We start from the raw sequence: 26,959 nt of genomic DNA, 5'->3' as shown, positions 1-26,959 counted from the left end.
GGTGGGATGGTTGTGGAGGAGGTGGAAGAGAGAATCTGACCTATCTGATATAACTTATTATTGAAGCTAGAGTAATTAAGTTAGTTAGTGCCATACTCATTCACAAATAAACAAACAGACCAATGGAAATTGAAGATAATGTAGAATCAGATATAAGTATATTTTGAAACTTGATTTTTGATAAATTGATTATGCACTACAGATCTATAAGGAAATGAACAATTTAATAAATGATACCAGTACAATTGGTTATCCAAATGAAAAAAAAAATACTCTCCCTCACACAAATGCGCACGTGCGCGCACACACACAAACACACACCCCGCAAAATTACATTCCAATTGATTAAAGGCTTAACTGTTAAAATCAAAATCTTAAAACTCTTGGGAGAACATTTAAGATAATATTTTATGACCTTATAAGGAAAGGGGAAGCAGTAAAGATTTCTTAAAACAAAGCACTAAAAGAAACAGAAAGAAAATATTAATGACTTTGACTGCATTAAAATTGCAAACTTGTGTTAGTCCAAAGTCGTAATAAACAAGGTGAGAAAATAAGATACAAGCTGGGAGAAGAGATTTGTGATATATGGAATGAACAAAATATAAGTATGTATAAAAACATATACATGTAACTAAATAAGACAGCCCAGTAGAATAACGGGCACAAGATAGGAACCAGAAATTCACATAGAGATATAGATGTCCGATAACTTTATGAGTAGCTATACGTTTTTCCATAATAACCAATAACATAAATTGAAATGATAACATCATTCTGCACCCATTTTAAGTCTCATACGATCAAGCATTATAGGAAATATGAAGTAAGTGGAACTCTTAAACATTGCCATTGAGGATGTAAATTGGCAAAATCACTTTGGAGAACAATTTGACAATATCTGATATGCTTGAAGATGCATGTATCCTACAACCCAGCAATTCAATTCCAGGGTACATACCCTATAAAAACTCTTGACATGAGCACATAGAGACAAGTACAGAGTGTTTATTCCAGCATTGTCTGTAATAGCAAAAGAAAGCCACCAAAACATTAACCAACGGGAAAAATACTTAAGTTGTGGTTTGATAATAACATGGAATCCTGTAGCATTTTTTTAAGTAAATGAATTAAAGACACAGTAATTTCAAAACAAAAATGTGTTAAAAAGAAGTTTCAGGAGAACACATAAAGTATGATACTGCTTTTTAAAAATTTTTAAAGATACAAAATACATATTACTTGGGGATACAAATGGAGTAAAATTATTAAGAAATGTGTAGGAACAATAAAATTCAAGACAATGATTGCACCTGAGTAGGGAAAAAGGGTGATGAGTTTGGATAAGTATATGTTTAATGTGGGGCTTCAATTATATGTATATATATATGTAGATATATATATATATATATACACACACACACACACATAGACATACACATATATTGGTTCTATTTCTTAAAGTAGATGTAGGTAAACGGGCTTTCATTGTACCTTTTAACATCTTTACATGTACTTAAATATTGTGTAATACACTTTTAATAAACAGCAGAAGTTAATAACGACTAGCATATTTTGAGCTCTTCATCATAAGTCTAGTCCTTTCTAAAGTTTACATGCATTCTCTTATTTGCTCTTAGTCTTTGAAGATGTTCTTTTATACCTCTTTTATTTAACAGGAATCTGAGGCCTTTAGAAATTAAATAATCTACCTACGGCTGTATAGGTAGGTGTTAGGTGCCAGAGCCAGAATATGAAATGGGAGCAGTCTGACTTTTAAAAGCTCACACCTTTAATCTCTATGAAGATTAATCAGCCTCTTTTTGAAAGGCCTCATTAACTTCAAAGAAGTCCTCAGGTTAGTGCAACTACCATTTCTACCTCTGGATGCAGCTATAACTACAGCAATAGAGCACAACAGCTTTGGCCTCTAAATTCAGTGATTTTCTGAGGCTAGAAGAGCATTTTCTCAGGAGCATAGGGTATGAGTCATTTCCTTAGGTATCTGTTTATTCGTTCAACAAATATTTATCTAGAGCCTACATAGCACAGTGGTAAACCACAAGTTATTTCTTGTCTACATCATTTTTGCAATTTGCCAAGCTTTTGGGACACAAATTTGAGATTTCTATTTTCATTTCCAGCGAATGCAGGGAATGTTGTGATTAATTATTAGCCATTTTAGAACTTGCAACCTGGCTTACTGTGGAACTCACTTAAGCCTAACCATTGTTTACCTGAAAATTCATATAGTGCCCCACTTTTACTTAAAAAAAAGTGTATATTGAAAACTTTTAATATACTTTTAGCTACACAAAGGACAAATTGAAATGAAAATATTATTTTTAAGTTTTATATGATTACCTCCTTTTTCTCTCTGTATTTCCTTCTTTTTTTCCCACAGATCAACGAATATCTCTTTAACTCTTTCTACTCCAGTGAGATTTTGAGATTTTCTTTGACCACGTACTAGACACATTGAAATTTTCCTTGACCATGTACTAGATGTATTTTATACTCTGTACTTTCTTTCATATGTGTGTGGAGACTTCATTGGATAGGCAGAAGTCCTGTACTTTCCACAAGATGCTGAGCTCCCAGTAGCTGATAGAAATGCTGAGATGGATGCCTTTGGGTTTATACTTTTTTATTTTAGTTAAACGTGTTTTACAGCCTGTGACGTAGAAGGCATGGGTTAACTTTAATTACATTCTCTCTAATTAAAATGGGTATACTGAATCTAAGTAATGTTCCACCTAGAATAATGAACAGTGTAATTAAGACTCTCTTGGCCAGTTTGTGCATGTGAACTTTATAGCTAATAACAGCTACACCTCTAAGTCATTGTGACCTCTTTTTAAATGATACAAACCTAATAATGTGAAAATTAACCCTCATTTTTACTTCTCGTCCAATCCAATCCAGTGATTATCTGATAGAAGTATTCAAATACTCCATCTCATCTTTTCTTTAACCATTTATTTCCTTTTTTATATTGAATATTTTAGGGACCTGAAGGAATTGTGGGAATTCCAGGGCAAAGAGGTCGTCCAGGAAAAAAGGTAATTTTTTACATCTTCTTATGCAGGTTTTCTTTCTTCTGATGTGCCCAGAACTCCATAGACTGCTGTAATGTTTTTAATTTGGACTAGATAGTAAAGTAGTAAAGAATTATAAATGTTGCTTTAAAAGATACATTTATATAAATTAATATTTAATTTCAGTTAGGAGTACTTATTATCGTGATTATTTGAAGGCAAATTTTCCATTTTGTAGTTTGTAAAAAATCTTGGCTTTTCCTTCTTTCTCTTGTTTGCCAAAAATTCTTTTAGTAGACCATGGGCAAGAAGAAAGATAAAAGGAAAATACTATACCATTTGTGCTTTTCAATGACAACTTTAGTAAAGTATTTGAGGGAAGAGAATGTAACTATAATTATTTGTTGTCAATGTGTTTTTCTAAGTTGGTTTTATTTTTTCCATATATGAAGAACTACAAATCAAGAATATTTTTATTTGCTTACTTTATATTTTACTAAAAATATTTTACTAAAATCAACATTCATAGTGAGACAGTGCAAGTCTTTGTATAATAACAACCTGCACCCCTGGAAAAATAAAATAAAGCCTCTTAGCTGTTATGAATCCCAAAAATTTCCTGTCCAACTGTGTTCACAGTAGTTTTTCTTTGTATCTTCTTGTTTATCAATAATAGAACAGGTTGGTTCTCACTTAGGAAAATGAAGAATAACACAATGTTGTTTAAGAACAGCTATATTTTGGTGCTAAAGAAAGGTCAGTTTGTTGGCTGGGCGCAGTGGCTCACACCTGTAATCCCAGCACTTTGGGAGGCCGAGGTGGGCGGATCGCTTGAAGTCAGGAGATCGAAACCAGCCTGGCCAACATGGTGAAACCCTGTCTCTGCTAAAACTACAAAAATTAACTGGACGTGTTGATGGGTGCCTGTAATCCCAGCTACTTGGGAGGCTGAGGCAGGAGAATCGCTTGAATCCAGGAGGCAGAGGTTGCAGTGAACTGAGATCTTGCCACTGCATTCCAGCCTAGGTGATATAGTGAGACTTGGTCTCAAAAAAAACAACAACAAAAAAGAAAGGTCAGTGTGTCTAATAGAAAACAGAAGATAATTAGTTTTCTGAAAGATGTAAAGTGATGTAAAAATGTTGCAGATTTTTCAAGGCATACTCCAAGCCAATGAGTGATGATCCTGAATGTACAGAACTGCACACTGGAGCTCTTTTTGTATTGAACAGACCTTGTTGCATTGAAATTCTCTATAGAAACAGACTTTCCAAAGAGCTTATGATTTCTTATAGTAACAACACATACATGCATACTTACATACATATATAGCAAAATTCAAAAGTAAAAAACGGTTATTTGGATTCAACATGAGCACCAGATGCCCCCTGCTTGTTTGGTCAAAATTTTTATTTTATCTTTTTCCAAAATTACTTTTATTTTTAAAATAACTTATATAGTGATGGTATGTTATTGTTGTTAATAGTGATCTGTAATACTGTTAACCAGATAATCCTCAGGAGCTATTCAGGAATATGATATAGTTAATTAATCTAAGTATAAATTTTTTTCTTGCTTTTCTCTCTTAATAATGTCATCCACAGGGTGATAAAGGACAAATAGGACCCACAGGAGAAGTTGGAAGCAGAGGTCCTCCTGGAAAAATTGGGAAAAGTGGTCCTAAGGGTGCCAGAGGAACTAGAGGTGCTGTGGTCAGTATTTGACTTGCTTCCAGAATTGAGTCACTGTGGATGGGAAAGAAACGTATCCATGCCCTTAAAGTTTCATCCCTTGATTAGCTTTACAGACAAAGCAATAGTTCCATTGAAAATAATCTACCTCCATGGGATGTGGAGAATTGTAAGCATTCCACAGTACTTAAACGGCTTAGTGGTTTCTGGACATGAAAAAGGAAAGAGAAAAAAATGAAAATGGAAATAAAATATGAAATGAGGTTTTAAAAAGTAAGATTATAACTCCTAACCAAACTAGGAAATTTTATATGGCCAGCACTTAAAATTGGGATTTAGTATCTGTATAAAACTATGCTGTCATGGTTGACAAATTGCTTTGAAAATTAGGTTTACTTGAAATGGATTTTCTTTCTCTGGTTGGAAACAAACCTGCTTTATTTGGATATTATTTTTCTAACCAATTGTGATAAATCTAACATCTAATTTTATCTTTCATCTTTCTCAGGAACTTTGCATGATGTTAGGAACAAGTGTAGCATGATACTTATGAACTCTTATATTAGGAAAATTATATTGCGAATGTATTTAGACCTGTTCTGAAAGTCAGCATGAAAGAGATGCAAAATATTTAAAAGATTATCTAATTGAGTCTTCTGTTTCATAGGCTTTTTTACAAAATGCATGCGTATTTCCATTTAGTGTAGTCTCCATTTAAATGTCACAAGTGCTAGACTTTTCACTAAGGCTTTTTAGAGATCATTGCATAATCCATTTGTTGTCTGAGGAAAGTTTGCCTCAGGCTTATTTTCGGTATTCTATTCCTTACTGGGATCTAGGCCTTTCTTACTTTCTTTCATTTAAATTACTAGCATTTCTCTGTCTTTGACCTGTATACAAAAACATTTTATAATGTTATTAATTTTTTAATTTGACACGTTCCCAACCTACCTTCCCAAGAGGTTTCATCAAATTTGCACTCCCACCATCAACATTTCATATTACTTCTTTTGATGTTTGCCAATCTGATAAGTGAGAATGTGTATTGCATTTTTTCTATTTACACTTTCCCAATTGCACTTTTTTCTTATGGAAGTTGCCTGTTCATATATACTGCACATTAGATTGTTGCCTTTTTCTTATTGATTTGCAATCACTCCTTATATGCTTAAAATATTAATATATTTTTGTTAAATATGTTACAAAATATATTACAAATGCTTTTCTTTCTGCAATTTATCTTTTAATTTTGTATATCTTTTGCTGTATAGATCATTTTAATTTTTATATAGTCAAACTTGTCAGTCTTTTCCCTTTCAGTTTCTGTGTTTATTTTATTAGAAATGCCTCCCCTACCTAAAGTATATAAGAATATTCTTCCATATTCTTCTAATACTTTTATAACTTTATTTTTACCTTAACTCTTTAAGATGTATGGAGGTTTTTGGTTTTTTTGTGGGTATTTTTTTATATAAGGTGTAGAAGACTAAGTTTATTTTTTCCAAACTTATAGACAGTTGTTCCAATTCTATTTATTGAGTGGTCAGTCTGTTTTCTGCTTTTCTGAAATGCTTCCCTTACCATAAACTGAATTCTCAAATATTCATTAGTCTGTTTTTCTTCTACTTTATTCTCTGAATCTAGTAGTCTATTTCTGGGTCAATACCACACTATTTTACTTACTATACTATTGTGATACCTTCTGTTAGGGCAAATACTTCATAATTCATTTTACAAAAAAGTTTGACTCTTGCTATGATTTCCTCTTTCATGTGAACTTTCAATTTCCTTCAATGCTGAATCTTTCTATAAACACCATATGTCTTTTTATTTACTCAAATCTGCTTACATATTCATCAATAAAATATTTCCCTTATCTCTGTTCTTTAATCTTTCTTGTTAAGTTTATTCTTAGTATTTTTGTTTTTTTGTTTTGCTTTGCTTTTGAGTTTTATTCTCAGTGTTAATATAATCCTTTTTCTGTTACATCAACTTAGTGGTGCTGTTGGTGCTATTATATTTTGATCTTATATCCACTTTAACGAATGTAGATGATTCTCATAGGGATTCTTCAGGTAAATAATATTGCCTCCCCTTATTTGCTTCTCTGAATTACTACATTGATTAGAACTTCTACTATAGCAGTGAATAGAAGTCATGATGAAGAAAACCTTGTCTTGTGGGCCTGTCTTTAGTGAAAATGCTTCTAATGCTTATAATATCAAGTGTTGTTTACAGTTGTTTTTTAGATATACCATTTATTTGTTTAAAGAAATTTATTTTCATTCTTAAATGAGAGTTTTGACCAAGAGTAGATGTTGAATTTTATCAAATCCTTTTACAACATTTTTTTAGATAATCCCATAGTAGATGTTGAATTTTATCAAATCCTTTTACAACATTTGTTTAGATAAACCCATGCTTTCTCTCCTTTGTTTGTAAATATAAGAAAATTCCTTCATAGATTTCCAAAAGTTGAATCAACCATGAGTTCCTAGGATAAATCTTACTTAGGTTTAATTATATTATTATTTTAATGCAAATAGATTTCATTTTTTAACATTTTATTTAAGAGTTTTATTTTAGCTTATTGAATGTAGTTTACCTTAAGAGTTTTGCATTTGTATTTGTAAGCAAAGTAGGCCTATTTCTTCATTCCATCGTTCTTCATTCCATCCTTTTTTAATGTATGCTATCATTGATTGGATTTAGGCATAAGTGTTAAGCAAGTCATATAAAATGGGTTGGTAAATTTTTCATATTTTTCTGTGCTCTGTAACAGTATGGAACATAGATATTGTGTCTGTTCTCCAAAGGTTTTATAAAACTTGCTATTAAAACAATCTGAGCCAAATGTTATTTTATTAGCAGTAGATCTTTGGCTTTCTTTTCAAATTTTGTATCTTCTGGAATAAATTTTTGAAATTTTTTCTCAAAAAGTATCAATTTCAACTAGATTTTCATATTTAGTAAGTGAAACTTGAAATGACTATTTTCTTATAATTAATTTTTTTTCCTTTGGTTATGTTCTTCTTGTTTCTAATGTTGTTTTATCGTGTTTACTCTTTGCGGTGATCAGATTTGCCAAATATTTTGCTCTTTTATTAGTCAGTTCAAAGTGTCTACTTTGTTTTTCACTCAACTTTTTAAAATGGTTTTCTGATTCACTAATTTCTGCTTCAGTATTAATCTCTTCTTGAATTAAATGTCTGGCCCATTTATTTTATTTATTTAATAAATGCATTATGAAGCTACCTGTTCCCTTTTGAGTGCCACTTTGGCCATATTCCCGTATTTTTATGTTTGTGTTTTTACCATCATTTACTTATAAATAGCTTGCAATTTCAGAGTTTATTTTCTCCTGAACAAGAGTTATCTTAAAGGATCTTTCTTTTTAAGTAGATTTTTAATTTTTATTGCTCATTTTTAATTACATTGCATTATAGCCAGAGGATGTGACCTATATGATTTCTGCTTTGAGGAAATTTACTAAAATTTTCTTTGAGGACTACTATATTCAAATTTTGTCAAAAGATTCCTTTTTCTCTTTTCTTTTCTTTCTTTCTTTCTTTTCCTTTTTTGGGGCTAATAAACAGTCCTAAGTATTTCTGTTAAATCAAGTTGTTAGCTAAGCTACTTAAATCCTTATAGCTTTCTTACTGTTTTTTTTCTTGCTATTTGAGTCATTGATTTCTGAAAACAGATTTTGAGATCTGTTCATCACATTTTCTCCCCACTTATTTTTGGGAGGTTACATATTTTGCATATATATTTTAGGTACATTAAGGTTCATTTTTTCTTTTATGAATTGCATATTTTATTTCTTGTTATGTTGGCTCTAGAGTCACTTGAGTCAGCAGCAGCCTTTAGCATTGCCTGCTTTTGGGGCAACAGTTTCCACACGCATTCACTTATCTTCTAGGCAAATGCAATCATCAGTTACCCAGCACAAGTAGAATAGGAATACCTGACTCCTTTCCCCAGTTAGTCACCTGAACCTATCCTGCCCCTTCAATGTCTTGATTTCAGCATTTGAAATTTCCTTGAGACTACTTGCACATCTGCAATGATTTTTTTCTTTGCATATTTTCAGCCCTAATTTTCTGTCTCAAATTACAAAATTTTGGTCCACTGATGATGTTTACTTATTTTCCAGTGTTGTTATTACAAATAAATACCTTTCTTTTCTCTCTCTCTTTTTTGTTGGATGAGACTATTGAAGCAAGCATATGTCATTCAGCCATCTTGAGCTAATGAATACTGAGTAGTTACATTCTATTCTAGATTATTCACCTAGGTAATGGCTGAATTCTTATTGATGTTTTAAAATTAATTTTGTGCAATTCCTTTTTTAGACTGAAACTTGTTCTTATCTGGATGAGTCTAAATTTACTAATCAATGGTTAATAGTTGCAATGTGAACATTTTTAGAGCTGGGAATTTAAAGAAATCATCAAATATAGTGAAGCACTATGATTAAATGGGAAATACTATATATGCAGAATCAAGAGACTTAGTTCTAGTATGACATTTGGCAAGTCACATACCTATTCTGTGCCTTAATTTTCCCATCTTCTATTTGTTTTGAGACTCAAATAGGAGAGTCAATATGGAATCTTTTTGCTAATATGAAATATAGGACTTTTTCAGGTTTTTTTTGTTTGTTTGTTTGTTTTACTTTTTCAATTGTCTGAGCAATCTATTCAGTAGGCTAAGGGCATTTGCTGATTAGTCTTTGGCTTACATGGTTTCACCATCTATAAAATATTGATAATAAGAGTAATCATAGGGTAACTATTACATGTAAGTTGTCAACCATTTCCCTTTTAATAACTTTGACCAGGACTAAAACCATATTCATCATAGCATCTGAAACTAACAATGAGTATGGAGTTCTGGATCCCGTAGTGACAATGTCAAAAACTCTCAGGTTGCACTCTCTAATATTCAGTGACCCACATCTGGCACAAACTTTGACAGATGTAAACCACATTTCCAATAATTCGTTAGGGAGCAGCAGGATTCTGACAACTGAAAGTATTTTTTTTAATATGATTAAGGATATTTATATCAGAAGTAAACCAAAAAGACATTTGTTGCAGAACTTTTTGTGTTTCAGAAAAAAAAATAGACAAAAGTTGGGGGGTTATTTTTTGCTTTCCTATTTCAAACTAGGTAAATTTCAACCATGAAAAATCTAAAGGTAACAATTTAAACAATAGGAGTAGAAGTCTAATGATTTAAACAATTCTTTACTTTCTCTCTCTCACTAATATTTACTTTGTTTTTCAGGGACATTTAGGATTGATGGGACCTGATGGAGAACCAGGAATTCCAGGGTACAGGGTAAGTATTTATAATTGAAAAAATATATTCACATGAAAACATTTTTATTAAAGATGATATCCCAAATATTCAAATTAAGATGAAATCTCTCTGATAAACCTTTCTAACATATTTAGGTCTCATCCTCCTAGACAGTGAATCCTATTTTTCCTTTCAGAATAATGCAATATCTAATATCTAGGTAGAGCATGTATAAATGTCTACTTGTCCTTTCGTAGGGCCATCAGGGCCAACCAGGACCCTCTGGATTGCCAGGACCTAAAGGAGAAAAGGTTTGTGTATATATTGGCTTTTTAATCTTAAAGTTAAACATTGAGTTCATGAATTATTCCTGAAAGACTGCATGGAAAAATTTTCAAGGAATAAAAGAAGCACTTTTAAAGTTGAAAATTTTACTAATTCTGGAAGAAAAAAATAAATATCAAGGAGCTAAAATTTAAATAAATTATTAAAATATCTTCCATGGGTTGTTTCAAGACTGAGCTGAAATAATATATGTGAAAATATTTGTAGAGCTTTGTAAGAGTAAAATTAATTATTTAAAGAAATTGTAAGGCTCTAGATTAAATGATTAATTATAGTACATTTATATTAAAGTCTTTGGGGCAGGAGAGTCAGGATCAAGTGATCTTGACTGTTGCCCAGGTTGGACTCAAACCAAGCAAGCAATCCTCCCACCCCAGGCTCCTAAGTAGCAGGCATGACAGATGAGTACCACCGCACCTGGCTCATTTATATTAAAGATTAAAATTTTTTGATGATTTAGGAATAACTACAGCAGTATTCTTAATTTACAATATCATTGAAATCTGACACTTTAAGAAAATTCCTGAGCTGCTTCTTATATAATTAAAGGAGATTGATACCTCCAAGAAGAACCCTGTACAAATTACAACTCTGTATAAAATATCATAGGCTTAGTTTCTTACATCAAAGTTTTCCACTTAAAAAAAGATAACATCAAACTGCATTTTCTAATATACTTAAAAATAGTAGGTTGTGTGTTTTTGATGTTTATTTTATTTATTGAGTTTTGTTTATAAATCATTATTTCATTTTAGGGCTACCCAGGAGAAGATAGCACAGTCCTAGGACCACCTGGGCCTCGAGGTGAACCAGTAGGTCTTTTTCTGAAATAATTCTGGTTATTCAAGATAAAACACAATTATATAATAGATTCACAACACCAATTAAATCTTTTCAAGGAGTTTTCTTTTGTTAGTTTTATAACATGGTTTGATAGGAGGGTGATATTTATGGTCACAAAATTTAAATGATATTAAAGTCTTTAATATGAAAAATATGCAGGTCATATTTTAGCATAATATATAGGGTTAATATAGTGACTTCCCAAATCTAACTTTCTGCATTGAAGGCATGATAACAACTTTTACAAAGATTGTCAGAAAACTTATACACTCTAGACATTTTAGGATACATATTTCTGTAATTATCACATTCAGATTTATTTCTAAATATTAAAAAAATCTTATCTATATACTTCTTATAGCAGTTTACACACAGTTGCCAAGTGATTTCAAAACCCCTCTAAGGAGTTATTAGAACCAATAACCTTTAAAGATTACTGATCTATAGCCTTCTTATTAAACATTTTAAGGGTTAACTATAACCATGGTCTCTAAAAAGTAGCTATTATAGCTTTATTTGAATAACTGTCTCTGTGTTCATGTTTGACTAAAACAATGTCTAAAGACCATATGTAAATTAAATGGATTAAATGAAAATTTTTAGTCCATAGAAATAAATATTATATAATTGGCTATATTTTCCATTTCTCACATAGTATTATATAGAGTAAAACAATCTTAAGGCACAAGGATCAGAATATGTAGTCACTCCTGATATTTTGACCTGGCTCTTTGGAGATGGTTGAAAGTTATACTTTGTTTTAGAAATAGACAAGAAAGATTCTAATTTTTCTGATTAAATCAAGCCATCTCATATAGAGGCAATAGATATATAGGTATCTAAAGGAATATGTAAGTTTCTTTATTAAATAATATTCTAGTCTCTCTAAACCACTAAGAGAGGGAAATATATGGAAATAATGTAAAAATCTTAAAGCAAATGGAAAAAACTTGGCAAAAGGAGTATAGTAGTGGTTGTTTTTCCCAGATTTAGGTATGCCAGGATCAAAGAATGCCACCTAAAATGTAATAAATATATTAAAAGACTAGCATAACAATAGTAGTTTTATCCAGTAGACACGGGACAGGCATGAAACTTAAACCACAAAGATTCTAAATAATTAAAGCAGAGTCAGAGATTGTAGTGTTGACATGTCTCTTACCTTTGTCCACGTAAGAGTAAATTAAAATTTGTCAATTAATGCTCTATAATAAATCCTATGCTTTTCCAACTAATTTCAATTTAAGTTTTTGTTCAGATGGTAGGTCCTAGTGGGTGCTGATATTTCTATTTCATTTTATAGTAGATAATTTGATGATTTATTATATTAAAGATTTTCTATTAGAAATATTCAGGAAAAGTAAGTCTGAGTTTATTAGATAATTTTTGGCTTAAGGATTAAAATTAATAAGTATAATTTTTTAGGTTAATTTATGTCTTGAAAATTAAAAATTTCACAATAGACTTTTATTCTGAGACTGTGTCTCCCTCTGTTGCCCAGGCTGGAGTGCTGGCTCACTGCAGCCTCAAACACCTGGGCTAAGTGATCCTCCCACCTCCCAAGTAGCTGGGACTGCAGGCTCGTGCCACCAGGGCCAGCTAATTTTTATTTATTATTTTTTAATTTTTTTTAGAGACAGGGTCTCTCTCTGTTGCCTAGGCTGGTCTCAAACCCTTGAGCTCAAGGGATCCTCCTATCTCAGCCTCCCACAGTGCTGGGATTACAGGCATGAGCTACCACACCCAGCCAACAGTAGACTTTCTCATGAAGAATGGTAAAGTAGGATTTACTATTTAAATCCCTTTTAAAAGATCACTTAAATATAATCTTTTGTAATTAATGGAATTATGTACTGAACTGTCCTGCTTAAATCTTTTTCAATCATTTTAATATTTAGTAAAAAAGTAAGTTATTTGGGCATCATTTATAACATACTGTACTAATTGAAACATTTTGTTGTTTTGTTGTTGCTGTTGCTGCTGTTGTTGTTTGAAACAGGGTCTCACTCTGTTGCCCAGGCTGGAGAGCAGTGGTGCAAACATGACTCACTGCAACCTCGACCTCCTGGGCTCAAGTGTTCCCCCTGCTTCAGCTCCCAAGTAGCTGGGACTATAGTCACATACCACCATGCCTGGCTAATTTTTACATTATTTGTAGAGACAGGGTCTCACGTTATTGCCCAGGCTGGTCTCGAACTCCTGGGCTCAAGGGATCCTCCTGCCTCAGCCTCCCAACGTGCTGGGACTACAGGTGTGAGCCACCACACTTGGTGAAAATATTCATATTTTTAATTGGGCTTCAGTTTTCAATATTTTTCCTAGTAGAATCATTATGAGATTCTCTTTATATAATTCACTGGTTGGTGTATTTTGATGTTGTTCTTGGTATCATTGAAATTCAATATTTTGAAATTATTTAATGGAACTAAACAAATCATATATTTGGTTTTATATTTTTGACAAAAGAATAAACAACACTAATCTTATCACCTGCATTCGCATATACTTTGATCCAGCTGTAAAACTGATTGTTTTGTGTGTGGTCTCTGTAGGGTCCAGTGGGGGACCAAGGAGAGAGAGGAGAGCCTGGAGCAGAGGGATATAAGGTAATTGCAAGTTATACCCCTTACTAATGAATTTAAATAGGGTTCTCTGTGTTTCTATTCCATTTTTTCCATTCCATTATTGAGATAATTAGTAATGTCTTATGTTTTTAATCCTAGAAGAGACGTCTTTCTACTTTCTGTTCCTCCTTCCTAGAATCATCTTTGTCTTTTCTTACTTCTGCTTTTTCTCATCATTCAGATCTCAACTGAAATGTTACCTCCTGAGAGGCCTTCTCTAACTGCCCTATCTAAAATAGATCTAGAACAATCACTCTGGACCATATTACTCGATTTCCTTCATGACATTTTATGCTATATTATCTTGTCACTTTTTAAATATATTTGTTTCCTTGTTTATTGTTTGTCTTCCCCCAACAAAATGTGGGATCCATGAGAAAAAAAATCTTGTCTCTCATTTTCATCATTATACCCCCAATTTCTAGAACACAAAGTTCCTGGTATATAGTAGGAATTCAATAAAGAGGTGTCAAGTAGGTGGCTAAATACCTTTATATTCTCAAGGCTTAAGTCAATTCTTATCCTCTTCCATTCCTGAGAGGGACATTATCTGACCAACTTAGCTAAAATTAGGCTGTGTGTAGAACGTATTCAGTGTCATTTTTTAATATCACATTTGTTTTTGAGGATGTTCTGTATTCCTGCCTTATATCTCTTCCCTCTATTTACATTGCCAATTGCTTTACAGAGTTAGAGGTTGTCTCCTGTCTCCCTATAGTTCCTGTCTTATTCCTTTGCTCATAGCATTCTCTATTTGCCTATAATATTATGTAATCTTTGCTTACATAAATCCTTTATAATTTCACTCAAATTCCCTTTTCCCCTGACCCACTAACGGTAATCTTGCTCTCTCCTGTAGTCTTGTAATAATATTATTTATTTAAGTCATTCAGTACAAACATTTTACCACATTCTGTTGCTATTCTTTTTTTGCTAATTTTGCTAATTATTTTTAATGTGTAGGTGTCTTAGCTCCCCCACTTGGCATATGTCTTCTTTCTTTCTTGTACAACGTCTAGTTCTAATCCCTGTACATAATAAGCTTTTAATAATGAGTTGATGGGTTAATTAATCTGATACATCTCTGTCAAGATGAAATTCCTGTGGTCATGTCTGAAATGCAGATTTATATTACCCAAACTAAATGGACAAGATGATAGATAGATAACTATCATTAATAAGTTGATTTTTCTCAAGCCAGAGGAATCTGAAAAATTAACTTTCACTCCCTAAAACTCTCTTTGAAGCAGATGTTGAGAATAGTTCTAAATATTTGTGAAATTGTTGCGATTACCATTTTTTTTTCTGTTTTCAAAGAAACATTTTTAGCAGGTTATATGTGTTCTGTTTCCAATTTACATAACATTTGTATCTACAAGTGTTTCCTAACCCAAGGAATTGAGTGGATTTATTTGAAATTTACTTTTCTCCGAGTTGAGAAGCCAACCCAACTGCTTCCAGCATAATTTGAGAAGCCTCTTAAAGTTCCTCAGCTTTTTCTGTGCATGACTTCTTCACACAGTCTCGGGAAAACCAGATTCCTGCAATATCTCATTTTGGCCTCTACCAGCTACAGAACATTCAGTAGCTAAATCAGTATATTTACCAGCAAATGAGCAGTTAACTATTCGCTTGAAAGGAGACAAGAATTTCCTCACTTGGCTAGCCAAAGAAAAGCCCTGCCGGCGTTTTCTGGACAATCAGTCATTCACTTTTCCCTAGGTTCACTGTCTAATCTACTTCTCCTTCCCCTTCCTTGTATACCCCTGATAATTTTTCAACTGTAGATGTTGTATAAACTAGTTTGATCCATGTCTTCCTTTCTGTCTTATTTCTTCCTAAGTCCTTAGGCTTTAGGGATCATTTTATTTATTGATGATTCTATGCTAAACAGTTAGCCATCTTGTGCCAGACAACCATGCTACTTTTATTGCTTAGCTCAAAATCATGAAATATCCACCTTTCTCCCTCACCAAGTTTTCTCCTAGCACAAGTTTGATTTATACAGAGGAACCACGCTTTATTTAGAATTAGGTTATCTTATTATAGCTTCAGGTGATATTTTAAAATGTTTGCTTTTCTATATGGATATTGTATATGCTATGATTTCACTCTGCTAAACTGATGGTTAGCATTATCACCAAGCTTCTTTATTAGGATAAAATACATGTAACATAAAATTTACCATTTTAACCATTTTAAACTTTACAATTCAGTGACATTTAGTACATTCACATTGTTAGTGGGCAAGGGAGGAAAAATATCTTTTCTTCTGCCCTTCTGAATTCTTGGCTGGGGACTTGGTAACAAAAGGCAGATTAACAAGAGAAAAGCATACAGATTAATTTCATATAAATTATACGTAACACGGGAGCCTTCATAAAGAAATAAAGCTCCAAAGAAACAGTTAAACCTGAATACTTTTATGCTAGGTTTGATGAGGAAGTCTTAGAAGAATGTGATAGGGCAAAGGTATGGGTTAAGATTAGTAAACTGGGGAAAACTTAGCAAGGACTGTTCATTCAGATTATTCTCTGTGTCCCTTCGTTTTTGGAGATGAGGATGCTCCTTTCCTCCAGGTATAGGGAGACACCTCTCACATGTGTCTTATGACCTGCATCAAAGGAAGGTAAGAAAGTCCTCTCTGCACATGCCATTCCTCAGATTGCTTCAGCTTAAAATATTCAATATTCCGAGATGCCATATTTTGGGGTAGTGTGTCTTGAACGCCATCATGTGCAACCATCACCATTGTCTAGTTCCAAACATTTTCAACACTTCCAAAAGGAAGCCCCATACTCATTAGGCAGTCACTCCCTATTCCCCCAAGCCCCTGGAAACCTTTTTCTTTTTGTCTCTGGATTTCTGTATTCTGGATATTTCATATAAATAGAATTATACATGTAGCCTTTTGTGTCTGGCACAGTGTTTTAAAAGTTCATCCATGTTATAAAATATATCAATATTTTATTGTCTTTATGACTGAATAATCACCTGGCTTTTAAAAAACATGTTTATAGTCACAAACATCTTTGACCAAAGTCAAGGGTCCTGCTCATTATTATTAACGAATACTTAGTTGTACTGACATACTTTATGTGTTATGTATGATAACATTTCTAAAAACTGTGTCTCTGGGCCGGGTGCAGTGGCTCACACCTGTAATCCCAGCACTTTGGGAGGCCACCGTGGGCAGATCACGAGGTCAGGAGATCGAGACCATCCTGCCCAACATAGTGAAACCCCATCTCTACTAAAATACAAAAAATTATCTGGGTGTGGTGGTGCATGCCTGTAGTCCCAGCTACTCGGGAGGCTGAGGCAGGAGAAACACTTGAACCCGGGAGGCAGAGGCAGAGGCAGAGGTTGCAGTGAGCCAAGATCATGCCACTGCACTCCAGCCTGGCAACAGAGCAAGACTCCATCTAAAAAATATATATATATATGTCTCTGGTCATTAAGCTTGTATTTGAGTGTCTGCCATGGGCCAGGAGAAGAGCTAGGGGCCATGGATATTACATTGGACATCCCAGACACAGTCTCTGCCCCCATGGACATCATATATATAAAAAACATGGAGAATAAGAACACTTAATCAGTATAAAAATAAACATAGTGAATTTTAGCTATAAAATATGTACAGCTATTTCATGTTATTTCATAAAAGGAAAAGCAATTATAGCTGTCATCCTGCTATAAACTGTACTAAAACTGTACATCACATAGATCAAGATAAATTTATTTGACGCTTGAGAGCCAGAGGACATGGAGGGAATAAATGTATTATCCTGGCAACAGCCACTTTTTAAAGGTATAAATGGAAACACTTTATTTAAAGGTATAAATGGAAACATAAATAGCCAAGATTAACTCAAGCTAAACTTAGGAGAGATGAAGTCCCAGAAATACTTTGAATAAATTATGTTGCATCTCAAAGTTCTTTTTGCTGTGGGCGGAGGGGGGCTGGCAATGGTCATAGAATTTTTACACACAATGAAATAACTAAATCCCAACTTGGCCTTCACTCCTTAGCATCAGACATACACATCTAAATAGCTATTGGACATCATCACAGGCACCTCAAACTCAGTAAGTGCCAAACCATAGTACCTCATCCTTTCCAAATTTAATCTGATCTTCCTCTTGTTATGTCCTCAATTCAGTGAATAGTATCACCAGCCATTCAGATGTCTAAACCAGTAGATGAATCCTCTGTCTCTCTTTCTTTCTCTTTCTTTCTCCCTCTCTCTGTCTCTCTCTCAATCTCTCTCTCTCACTCACTCACTCTGTCTCTATGAATCTCTTTTTCTTCCCCATACCCCTACTCATGTCTCACAGTCAGCCACTTCTTTTGATTCTTAAATGTTTCTGGAATCTAGTTACTTTGTCCTACTTTAGTTCAGGCTCTCACCATTTTTTTGTATTTACTTTTTTTTTAAATTTTATTATTATTATACTTTAAGTTTTAGGGTACATGTGCACAATGTACAGGTTTGTTACATATGTATACATGTGCCATGCTGGTGTGCTGCACCCATTAACTCATCATTTAGCATTAGGTATAGCTCCTAATGCTATCCCTTCCCCCTCCCCCCACCCCACAACAGTCCCCAGAGTGTGATGTTCCCCTTCCTGTGTCCCAGTGTTCTCATTGTTCAATTCCCACCTATAAGTGAGAACATGCAGTGTTTGGTTTTTTGTCCTTGCCATAGTTTGCTGAGAATGATGGTTTCCAGTTTCATCCATGTCCCTACAAAGGACATGAACTCATCCTTTTTTATGGCTGCATAGTATTCCATATTGTATATGTGCCACATTTTCTTAATCCAGTCTATCGTTGTTGGACATTTGGGTTGGTTCCAAGTCTTTGCTATTGTGAATAGTGCCACAATAAACATACGTGTGCATGTGTCTTTATAGCAACATGATTTATAATCCTTTGGGTATATACCCAGTAATGGGATGGCTGGGTCAAGTGGTATTTGTAGTTCTAGATCCCTGAGGAATCGCCACACTGACTTCCACAATGGTTGAACTAGTTTACAGTCCCACCAACAGTGTAAAAGTGTTCCTATTTCTCCACATCCTCTCCAGCACCTGTTGTTTCCTGACTTTTTACTGATCACCATTCTAACTGGTGTGAGATGGTATCTCATTGTGGTTTTGATTTGCATTTCTCTGATGGCCAGTGATGATGAGCATTTTGTCATGTGTTTTTTGGCTGCATAAATGTCTTCTTTTGAGAAGTGTCTGTTCATATCCTTCACCCACTTGTTGATGGGGTTGTTTTTTTCTTGTAAATTTGCTTGAGTTCATTGTAGATTCTGGATATTAGCCCTTTGTCAGATGAGTAGGTTGCGAAAATTTTCTCCCATTTTGTAGGTTGCCTGTTCACTCTGAGAAAAGGCCTTTGACAAAATTCAACAACCCTTCATGCTAAAAACTCTCCATTAATTAGGTATTGATGGGACGTATCTCAAAATAATAAGAGCTATCTATGACAAACCCACAGCCAGTATCATACTGAATGGGCAAAAACTGGAAGCATTCCCTTTGAAAACTGGCACAAGACAGGGATGCCCTCTCTCACCACTCCTATTCAACATAGTGTTGGAAGTTCTGGCCAGGGCAATTAGGCAGGAGAAGGAAATAAAGGGTATTCAGTTAGGAAAAGAGGAAGTCAAATTGTCCCTGTTTGCAGATGACATGATTGTATATCTAGAAAACCCCATTGTCTCGGCCCAAAATCTCCTTAAGCTGATAAGCAACTTCAGCAAAGTCTCAGGATACAAAATCAATGTGCAAAAATCACAAGCATTCTTACACAACAATAACAGACAAACAGAGAGCCAAATCATGAGTGAACTCCCATTCACAATTGCTTCAAAGAGAATAAAATACCTAGGAATCCAACTTACAAGGGACGTGAAGGACCTCTTCAAGGAGAACTACAAACCACTGCTCAATGAAATAAAAGAGGATACAAACAAATGGAAGAACATTCCATGCTCATGGGTAGGAAGAATCAATATCGTGAAAATGGCCATACTGCCCAAGGTAATTTACAGATTCAATGCCATCCCCATCAAGCTACCAATGACTTTCTTCACAGAATTGGAAAAAACTACTTTAAAGTTCATATGGAACCAAAAAAGAGCCCACATTGCCAAGTCAACCTAAGCCAAAAGGACAAAGCTGGAGGCATCACGCTACCTGACTTCAAACTATACTACAAGGCTACAGTAACCAAAACAGCATGGTACTGGTACCAAAACAGAGATATGGATCAATGGAATAGAACAGAGCCCTCAGAAATAATGCCACATATCTACAACCATCTGATCTTTGACAAACCTGAGAAAAACGAGCAATGGGGAAAGGATTCCCTATTTAATAAATGGTGCTAGGAAAACTGGCTAGCCATATGTAGAAAGCTGAAACTGGATCCCTTCCTTACACCTTATACAAAAATTAATTCAAGATGGATTAAAGACTTACATGTTAGACCTAAAACCATAAAAACCCTAGAAGAAAACCTAGGCAATACCATTCAGGACATAGGCATGGGCAAGGACTTCATGTCTAAAACACCAAAAGCAATGTCAACAAAAGCAAAAATTGACAAATGGGATCTAATTAAACTAAAGAGCTTCTGCACAGCAAAAGAAACTACCATCAGGCTCTCATCATTTTTTGCCAAAATTATTTCAATAGCTTCCCAACTAGACTTCCTGTCTCCAGTCATAGCCCTCTCAGATCCATTTTCTACCTAACATGTTCTGTCAGATGCATCCCTTTATTTCCCATGCTATTGCCTCTGCCAGAATGTCCTCACTTTACTGCCCGGAACACTCATTCTTCAAGATTGAACTTATCACTTCCCTTATAAAATCTTCTGTAAGTTCCTTTGGCCATTCAACTCATCCCACCACTAATATTATCTGACAAGTTCCATCACTTTCCATAACCTCTCCTGAATAATTTTGTAATAACATTTTCTATGGCACATTTAATTTTTACCAATACAGAAAAATGGTCATAGTCAATTTTTAGAGTGATAAACCAAAGTAATTGTAACAAAACTCTTAGAATGCAGGTTTGTCTTGGTGAGATTTACAGTCATACTTCACAAAGCCAGGAGAGGCAGTTGGCTATTCTATGATCACTCTGAAAATATTTCTGTAGAACTACATACAGGGATGGTGGAAAAGCCATAATTGGGCATGATGGTTTAGAGTTTTGTAGTTTGCTCATATTCTCACTCTTACTTCACCTCCAGCTTTTCACCAGCCACTTCTTTCCTGAATCCTGTTTGATAAGTGACCTTCAAGTAGTCACATTTACTTGTACCACACTCCGTCTTGATTGACCAGATTCTGTTAATTGCTGGCTCTGCTCATGTTTTGCTAAGGCTCGTGTGTGATCATGGTTTTTCCGTTAGTGTGGTCATGGGCTATATAGAAGCTCTCAAGACTAGCCTTTCTCTCTTGCCACTCTTCACTTCCTTAAACAGATTTCATTTTCTTTATCGGGAAGTTGAAACTTAAACCGTAAACATTTGCCTCAGAATGCAAACAAAGAAGCCTTCAACTGACTTTGCTGTAAGAATAAATATTGTTGTTAGGAGCCAAGATTGCCAAATAAGAACAGCTCCGGTCTACAGCTCCCAGCGTGAGCAACGCAGAAGACAGGTGATTTCTGCATTTCCATCTGAGGTACTGGGTTCATCTCACTAGGGAGTGCCAGACAGTGGGCGCAGGTCAGTGGGTGCACGCACTGTGCGCGAGCCGAAGCAGGGCAAGGCATTGCCTCACTCGGCAAGCGCAAGGGGTCAGGGAGTTCCCTTTCCTAGTCAAAGAAAGAGGTGACAGATGGCACCTGGAAAATCGGGTCACTCTGACCCGAATACTGCGCTTTTCCGACGGGCTTTAAAAACAGCACACCAGGAGATTATATCCCGCACATGGCTCAGAGGGTCCTATGCCCACGGAGTCTCGCTGATTGCTAGCACAGCAGTCTGAGATCAAACTGCAAGGCGGCAGCCAGGCTGGGGGAGGGGCACCCGCCATTGCCCAGGCTCACTTAGGTAAACAAAGCAGCCGGGAAGCTCAAACTGGGTGGAGCCCACCACAGCTCAAGGAGGCCTGCCTGCCTCTGTAGGCTCCACCTCTGGGGGCAGGGCACAGACAGACAAAAAGACAGCAGTAACCCTGCAGACTTAAATGTCCCTGTCTGACAGCTTTGAAGAGAGCAGTGGTTCTCCCAGCATGCAACTGGAGATCTGAGAACGGGCAGACTGCCTCCTCAAGTGGGTCCCTGACCCCTGACCCCCGAGCAGCCTAACTGGGAGGCACCCCCCAGCAGGGGCAGACTGACACCTCACACGGCCGGGTACTCCAACAGACCTGCAGCTGAGGGTCCTGTCTGTTAGAAGGAAAACTAACAAACAGAAAGGACATCCACACCGAAAACCCATCTGTACATCACCATCATCAAAGACCAAAAGTAGATAAAACCACAAAGATGGGGAAAAAACAGAGCAGAAAAACTGGAAACTCTGAAAAGTAGAGCGCCTCTCCTCCTCCAAAGGAACGCAGTTCCTCACCAGCAACAGAACAAAGCTGGAAGGAGAATGACTTTGATGAACTCAGAGAAGAAGGCTTCAGACGATCAAATTACTCCGAGCTATGGGAGGAAATTCAAACCAAAGGCAAAGAAGTTGAAAACTTTGAAAAAAATTTAGAAGAATGTATAACTAGAATAACCAATACAGAGAAGTGCTTAAAGGAGCTGATGGAGCTGAAAACCAAGGCTCGAGAACTACGTGAAGAATGCAGAAGCCTCAGGAGGCCATGCGATCAACTGGAAGAAAGGGTAGCAGTGATGGAAGATGAAGTGAATGAAATGAAGCGAGAAGGGAAGTTTAGAGAGAAAAGAATAAAAAGAAATGAGCAAAGCCTCCAAGAAATATGGGGCTATATGAAAAAACCAAATCTACGTCTGATTGGTGTACCTGAAAGTGACGGGGAGAATGGAACCAAGTTGGAAAACACTCTGCAGGATATTATCCAGGAGAATTTCCCCAATCTAGCAAGGCAGGCCAACATTCAGATTCAGGAAATACAGAGAACGCCACAAAGATACTCCTCGAGAAGAGCAACTCCAAGACACATAATTGTCAGATTCACCAAAGTTGAAATGAAGGAAAAAATGTTAAGGGCAGCCAGAGAGAAAGGTCGGGTTACCCACAAAGGAAAGCCCATCAGACTAAGAGCAGATCTCTTGGCAGAAACTCTACAAGCCAGAAGAGAGTGGGGGCCAATATCAACATTCTTAAAGAAAAGAATTTTCAACCCAGAATTTCATATCCAGCCAAACTAAGCTTCATAAGTGAAGGAGAAATAAAATACTTTACAGACAAGCAAATGCTGAGACATTTTGTCACCACCAGGCCTGCCCTAAAAGAGCTCCTGAAGGAAGCGCTAAACATGGAAAGGAACAACCGGTACCAGCCACTGCAAAAACATGCCAAATTGTAAAGACCATCAAGACTAGGAAGAAACTGCATCAACTAACGAGCAAAATAACCAGCTAACAGCATAATGACAGGATCAAATTCACACATAACAATATTAACTTTAAATGTAAATGGACTAAATGCTCCAATTAAAAGACACAGACTGGCAAATTGGATAAAGAGTCAAGACCCATCAGTGTGCTGTATTCAGGAAACCCATCTCATGTGCAGAGACACACATAGGCTCAAAATAAAAGGATGGAGGAAGATCTACCAAGCAAATGGAAAACAAAAAAAGGCAGGGGTTGCAATCGTAGTCTCTGATAAAACAGACTTTAAACCAACAAAGATCAAAAGAGACAAAGAAGGCCATTACAAAATGGTAAAGGGATCAATTCAACAAGAAGAGCTAACTATCCTAAATATATATGCACCCAATACAGGAGCACCCAGATTCACAAAGCAAGTCCTGAGTGACCTGCAAAGAGACTTAGACTCCCACACAATAATAATGGGAGACTTTAACACCCCACTGTCAACATTAGACAGATCAACGAGACAGAAAGTCAACAAGGATACCCAGGAATTCAACTCAGCTCTGCACCAAGCAGACCTAATAGACATCTACAGAACTCTCCACCCCAAATCAACAGAATATACATTTTTTTCAGCACCACACCACACCTATTCCAAAATTGACCACATACTTGGAAGTAAAGCTCCCCTCAGCAAATGTAAAAGAATAGAAATTATAACAAACTTATCTCTCAGACCACAGTGCAATCAAACTAGAACTCAGGATTAAGAATCTCACTCAAAACTGCTCAACTACATGGAAACTGAACAATCTGCTCCTGAATGACTACTGGGTACATAACGAAATGAAGGCAGAAATAAAGATGTTCTTTGAAACCAACAAGAACAAAGACACAACATACCAGAATCTCTGGGATGCATTCAAAGCAGTGTGTAGAGGGAAATTTATAGCACTAAATGCCCAGAAGAGAAACCAGGAAAGATCCAAAATTGACACCCTAACATCACAATTAAAAGAACTAGAAAAGCAAGAGCAAACACATTCAAAAGCTAGCAGAAGGCAAGAAATAACTAAAATCACAGCAGAACTGAAGGAAATAGAGACACAAAAAACCCTTCAAAAAATGAATGAATCCAGGAGCTGGTTTTTTGAAAGGATCAACAAAATTGATAGACCACTAGCAAGACTAATAAAGAAAAGAGAGAAGAATCAAACAGACACAATAAAAAATGATAAAGGGGATATCACCACTGATCCCACAGAAATACAAACTACCATCAGAGAATACTACAAACACCTCTACGCAAATAAACTAGAAAATCTAGAAGAAATGGATAAATTCCTCGACACATACACCCTCCCAAGACTAAACCAGGAAGAAGTTGAATCTCTGAATAGATCAATAACGAGCTGAAATTGTGGCAATAATCAATAGCTTACCAACCAAAAAGAGTCCAGGACCAGATGGATTCACAGCCGAATTCTACCAGAGGTACAAGGAGGAAATGGTACCATTCCTTCTGAAACTATTCCAATCAATAGAAAAAGAGGGAATCCTCCCTAACTCATTTTATGAGGCCAGCATCATCCTGATACCAAAGCCGGGCAGAGACACAACCAAAAAAGAGAATTTTAGACCAATATCCTTGATGAACATTGATGCAAAAATCCTCAATAAAATACTGGCAAACTGAATCCAGCAGCACATCAAAAAGCTTATCCACCATGATCAAGTGGGCTTCATCCCTGGGATGCAAGGCTGGTTCAATATACGCAATTCAATAAATGTAATCCACCATATAAACAGAACCAAAGACAAAAACCACATGATTATCTCAATAGATGCAGAAAAGGCCTTTGACAAAATTCAACAGCCCTTCATGCTAAAAACTCTCCATTAATTAGGTATTGATGGGACGTATCTCAAAATAATAAGAGCTATCTATGACAAACCCACAGCCAATATCATACTGAATGGGCAAAAACTGGAAGCATTCCCTTTGAAAACTGGCACAAGACAGGGATGCCCTCTCTCACCACTCCTATTCAACATAGTGTTGGAAGTTCTGGCCAGGGCAATTAGGCAGGATAAGGAAATAAAGGGTATTCAGTTAGGAAAAGAGGAAGTCAAATTGTCCCTCTTTGCAGATGCCATGATTGTATATCTAGAAAACTCCATTGTCTCAGCCCAAAATCTCCTTAAGCTGATAAGCAACTTCAGCAAAGTCTCAGGATACAAAATCAATGTGCAAAAATCACAAGCATTCTTATACACCAACAACAGACAAACAGAGAGCCAAATCATGAGTGGACTCCCATTCACAATTGCTTCAAAGAGAATAAAATACCTAGGAATCCAACTTACAAGGGATGTGAAGGACCTCTTCAAGGAGAACTGCAAACCACTGCTCAATGAAATAAAAGAGGATACAAACAAATGGAAGAACATTCCATGCTCATGGGTAGGAAGAATCAATATCGTGAAAATGGCCATACTGCCCAAGGTAATTTACAGATTCAATGCCATCCCCATCAAGCTACCAATGACTTTCTTCACAGAATTGGAAAAAACTACTTTAAAGTTCATATGGAACCAAAAAAGAGCCCGCATCGCCAAGTCAATCCTAAGCCAAAAGAACAAAGCTGGAGGCATCACACTACCTGACTTCAAACTATACTACAAGGCTACAGTAACCAAAACAGCATGGTACTGTTACCAAAACAGAGATATAGATCAATGGAACAGAACAGAGCCCTCAGAAATAATGCCGCATATCTACAACTATCTGATCTTTGACAAACCTGAGAAAAACAAGCAATGGGGAAAGGATTCCCTATTTCATAAATGGTGCTAGGAAAACTGGCTAGCCATATATAGAAAGCTGAAACTGGATCCCTTCCTTACACCTTATACAAAAATCAATTCAAGATGGATTAAAGACTTAAATGTTAGACCTAAAACCATAAAAACCCTAGAAGAAAACCTAGGCATTACCGTTCAGGACATAGGCATGGGCAAGGACTTCACGTCTAAAACACCAAAAGCAATGGCAACAAAAGCCAAAATTGACAAATGGGATCTAATTAAACTAAAGAGCTTCTGCACAGCAAAAGAAACTACCATCAGAGTGAACAGGCAACCTACAAAATGGGAGAAAATTTTCGCAACCTACTCATCTGACAAAGGGCTAATATCCAGAATCTACAATGAACTCAAACAAATTTACAAGAAAAAAACAAACAACCCCATCAAAAAGTGGGCAAAGGACATGAACAGACACTTCTCAAAAGAAGACATTTATGCAGCCAAAAAACACATGAAAAAATGCTCATCATCACTGGCCATCAGAGAAATGCAAATCAAAACCGCAATGAGATACCATCTCACACCAGTTAGAATGGCAATCATTAAAAAGTCAGGAAACAACAGGTGCTGGAGAGGATGTGGAGAAATAGGAACACTTTTACACTGTTGGTGGGACTGTAAACTAGTTCAACCATTGTGGGAGTCAGTGTGGTGATTCCTCAGGGATCTAGAACTACAAATATCATTTGAC

The 26,959-nt window shown here is 35.7% G+C and overlaps 1 protein-coding gene across 20 annotated transcripts in view; it reads left to right on the top strand.

The window, feature by feature from the left end:
* Positions 1–26,959, top strand: part of COL24A1 (collagen type XXIV alpha 1 chain) — a 427,752-nt gene that overhangs the window by 304,570 nt on the left and 96,223 nt on the right. For 17 of the 20 annotated variants that reach the window (NR_146341.2, NR_146344.1, NR_146343.1 and 14 more), the window contains 6 exons: positions 3,009–3,062; positions 4,643–4,750; positions 10,022–10,075; positions 10,294–10,347; positions 11,137–11,193; positions 13,777–13,830. Coding sequence is in view for 14 of the 20 variants with exons in the window: in XM_047417004.1 (XP_047272960.1) it covers positions 3,009–3,062; positions 4,643–4,750; positions 10,022–10,075; positions 10,294–10,347; positions 11,137–11,193; positions 13,777–13,830 (381 nt within the window). In the remaining 6 variants the exon portion in view is untranslated. The remainder of the gene's footprint in view (positions 1–3,008; positions 3,063–4,642; positions 4,751–10,021; positions 10,076–10,293; positions 10,348–11,136; positions 11,194–13,776; positions 13,831–26,959) is intronic. The other 3 variants (NR_146340.2, NR_146342.2, XM_047417022.1) reach the window with 1 other exon arrangement.

Source organism: Homo sapiens, chromosome 1, assembly GCF_000001405.40.
Source record: "Homo sapiens chromosome 1, GRCh38.p14 Primary Assembly".
NCBI classification, from domain to species: domain Eukaryota; kingdom Metazoa; phylum Chordata; class Mammalia; order Primates; family Hominidae; genus Homo; species Homo sapiens.
The sequence above is the reverse complement of the archived record's forward strand: the minus strand, read 5'-3'. Positions and strand labels throughout refer to the sequence as shown.